Consider the following 3,509-nt stretch of genomic DNA (forward strand, 5'->3'; position numbering starts at 1 on the left):
CAAGACTATCCTGGCCAACATGGTGAAACCCCATCTGTACTAAAAAAACAAAAAAATTAGCCAGGCGTGGTGGCCCGCGCCTGTAGTCCCAGCTACTCAGGAGGCTGAGGCAGGAGAATCACTTGAACCCAGGAGGCAGAGGTTGCAGTGAGCTGAGATCGCGCCACTGCACTCCAGCCTGGTGACAGAGCAAGACTTCATCTCAAATAAATAAATAAATAAATAAAGGTAGCTCCACCTGTAGGACTGCACATGTTATCACAGTGTCACAAAAGAAATGACTTTGATTTGGTTCTTTAAGAAAGAATATTAGCCAAATGAAACATAGGGCTTCCTGGTGTCATTCTGGCCCAGCTCTGGGTTTTTCCCTCACCACAAACTGTCAAAAAGCCTGATCCAATTTTGTATCAGTAAAATAATCAAGACATTTGAAAAAGTGCTGGACTGATCTGGGTTCCTGGGGTTATTGGGATAATGTCAACAACAGCACTTCCCCCCACATTTCCCCTTTTCTGGACTCATTTCTAGGTATCATCCTGAGTTTTTAAGACACTTAAATAGTTTTAGAAATCAACAAGGGTAGTCTGGGTGCAGTGGCTCATCCTGTAATCCTAGCAATTTGGGGGGCTGAGACCAGAGGATAGCTTGAACTCAGGAATTCGAGACCAGCCTGGGCAACATAGCAAGACCTCATTTCTACTAAAAACCAAAAGAACTAACTTGGCATAGTGGCACATGCATGTAGTCCCAGCTCTTCAGGAGGCTGAGGTGGGAGGATCACTTGGGCCCAGGTGATGGAGGCTACATGAGCTATGATCATGCCACTGCACTCTAGCCTGGGCAACAGAGCAAGAACCTGTTTCAATACAAAACAAAACAAAAAAGCACAACACACAACAACAACCAAAAAAAAAAAAAAAAGGAAAGAAAAAAGAAATCAATAAGGGTAGGAGGACTTGAGGACTAGATAAAAAATGAACCTCTTGAAAAAGACTGTCTTTAGCAGTCTGATCTCTCCAAGCCTGGAGGAGAGCCCAAGAGATGGAGGTGAGCCAAAGAGCTGGAGGCTCTTTATTGTAAATAGGGTTAGTTGTTTCCAGGTAAACCATTAGGTTTTTAGATCCCCAAATTCTGCCCATTGGTATTGCTCAGTTGTTGTTTGGTTTTAGCCCATACGGCCTTTTATTTAAACCTCCCTTGGAGGGCTTAATCTGGAAAGCAAAAAGGGATGATGGCCAAGGAAACAGGGAAAATATGGAATAGTAATATTTGTCCTGGGCATCACTATTCTGAATAACAGGAAGTTATTTCTGCGGCCATCAACCTGTTGTAATGAAAGACATTCAAATTTCAGTCATAATTTGAATACTGACGCTGAAACCTTGTTCAAACTATTCAACACTATTAAATCAGAAGCTCTTTAACAGAAAAATAATCTACCTTTAATTCTTTGGTGAAAATTAAAAGAAAGTATGTAGCGACCCCTCATTATCAGTTTGACAATGGTGATGATAATACTAATACTTCTACTACTCACTTACACTTATAGAGCGTTGTCTATGCACCAGGCAGTGTTTCAGAGTGCTTTGTATGATAATGATGATTTGTTGAATTTCTAAGTCTCAGTTTCTGATATTTATATCGGCTCTCCACTATGCCTGTATGAAAGACCAGTATATTGCGGATCACTTGTGGACAGGAGTTCCAGATCAGCCTGGCCAACATGGTGAAACCCCGTCTCTACTAAAAATTCAAAAGAATTAGCTGGAAATTGCTTGAACCTGGGAGGCAGAGGTTGCAGCGAGCCGAGATCGCGCCATTGCACTCCAGCCTGGGCAACAGAGCGAGACTCCATCTCAAAAAAAGAAAAAAGAAAAAAGGGCCAGGCGCAGTGGCTCACGCCTGTAATCCCAGCACTTTGGGAGGTCGCGGCGGACGGATCACCTGAGATTGGGAGTTCCAGACCAGCCTGGCCAACATGGCAAAACTCCATCTCTACTAAAAGTACAAAAATTAGCCGGGCCATGGTGGTGGGCACCTGTAATCCCAGCTACTCAGGAGGCTGAGGCAGGAGAATCGCTTGAACCCAGGAGGTGGAGGTTTGCAGTGAGCCGAGATCGCGCCACTGAGCTCCAGCCTGGGAGAAAAGAGCGAGACTCCGTCTCAAAAAAAAAAGCAAAGCAAAGCAAAAAAGAAAGACCAGTGTGTTGCTGTTTGTCTTAGGCAGCTTGAGGTGCTGTAACAAAATACCATAGACTAAGTGGCTTAGACAACAGATTTTGGCCGGGCGCAGTGACTCACGCCTGTAATCCCAGCACTTTGGGAGGCCAAGGCGGGTGAATCACCTGAGGTCAGGAGTTCAAGAGCAGCCTGACCAATATGGTGAAACCCCATCTCTACTAAAAATACAAAAATTAGCCAGGCTTGGTGGCAGGCACCTGTAGTCCCAGCTACTCAGGAGGCTGAGACAGGAGAATTGCTTGAACCCGGGAGGCAGGGGTTGCAGTGAGATGAGATCACACCATTGCACTCCAGCCTGGGTGAGAGAGCAAGACTCTGTCTCAAAAAACAAAAACAAAAACAAAACAGATTTATTTCTCAAAGTTCTGGAGGCTGGGAAGTCCCAGATCACAGGGTCAGCATGATCAGGTTCTTGGTAAGGGCCTTTGCCCTGGCTTGCAGATGGCCAACTTCCAGCTGTGTCCTCACATTGTGGGAGAGAGAGACACACACACACACACAGAGGTCTGGTCTCTTCCTCCCTATCAGGACACTAATCTCAATACGGGGCTTTACTCTCAAGACCTCATCTAAATCTAATTACCTCCCAAGGTCTCACCCCCAAAACCCACCACATTAGGGGTTAGGGCTTCAACATATGAGTTTAAGAGGGGCATATTATGTCCATAACGTCATTCTAAGAACTGCTTCTCCAACCTGGCTGCACATTTTATCATTCAGGGAGGCTTCTAAAAAATACCGATTCCTATATGCTAAACCAATTAACTCAGAATATCTGGAAGTAGAGCCTAGCTCCTCTTTGTAGATTGAACGAGAGTTAGAAAAGGGTAACTAAGGCCAAGTGCGGTGGCTCACACCCATAATCCCAGCACTTTAGGAGGCTGAGGCGGGCGGATCACCTGAGGTCCGGAGTTCTAGACCAGCCTGGCCAGCATGGTGAAACACAGTCTCTACTAAAAATACAAAATTAGCCGGGAATGGTGGCGCATGCCTGTAATTCCAGGTACTCGGGAGGCTGAGACAGGACAATCGCTTGAACCCGGGAGGTGGAGGTTGCAGTGAGCCGAGATCGCACCACTGCACTCCACCCTGGGCGACAGAATGAGACTTTGTCTCAGAAAAAAAAAAAAAAGAAAGAAAGAAAGAACAGAGTAGCTCACATTCACATTTTCCCTAAGTAAGGAGCATCCGACTTTTTTTCTTAAAGCCTTAGTGGTCAGCCCAAGGAGTCCTGATTTCACTCAATTTTCACTCAATTTCTGGGTTTC

The sequence above is a fragment of the Homo sapiens genome, chromosome 17, assembly GCF_000001405.40.
Source record: "Homo sapiens chromosome 17, GRCh38.p14 Primary Assembly".
Taxonomy (NCBI): Eukaryota; Metazoa; Chordata; class Mammalia; order Primates; family Hominidae; genus Homo; species Homo sapiens.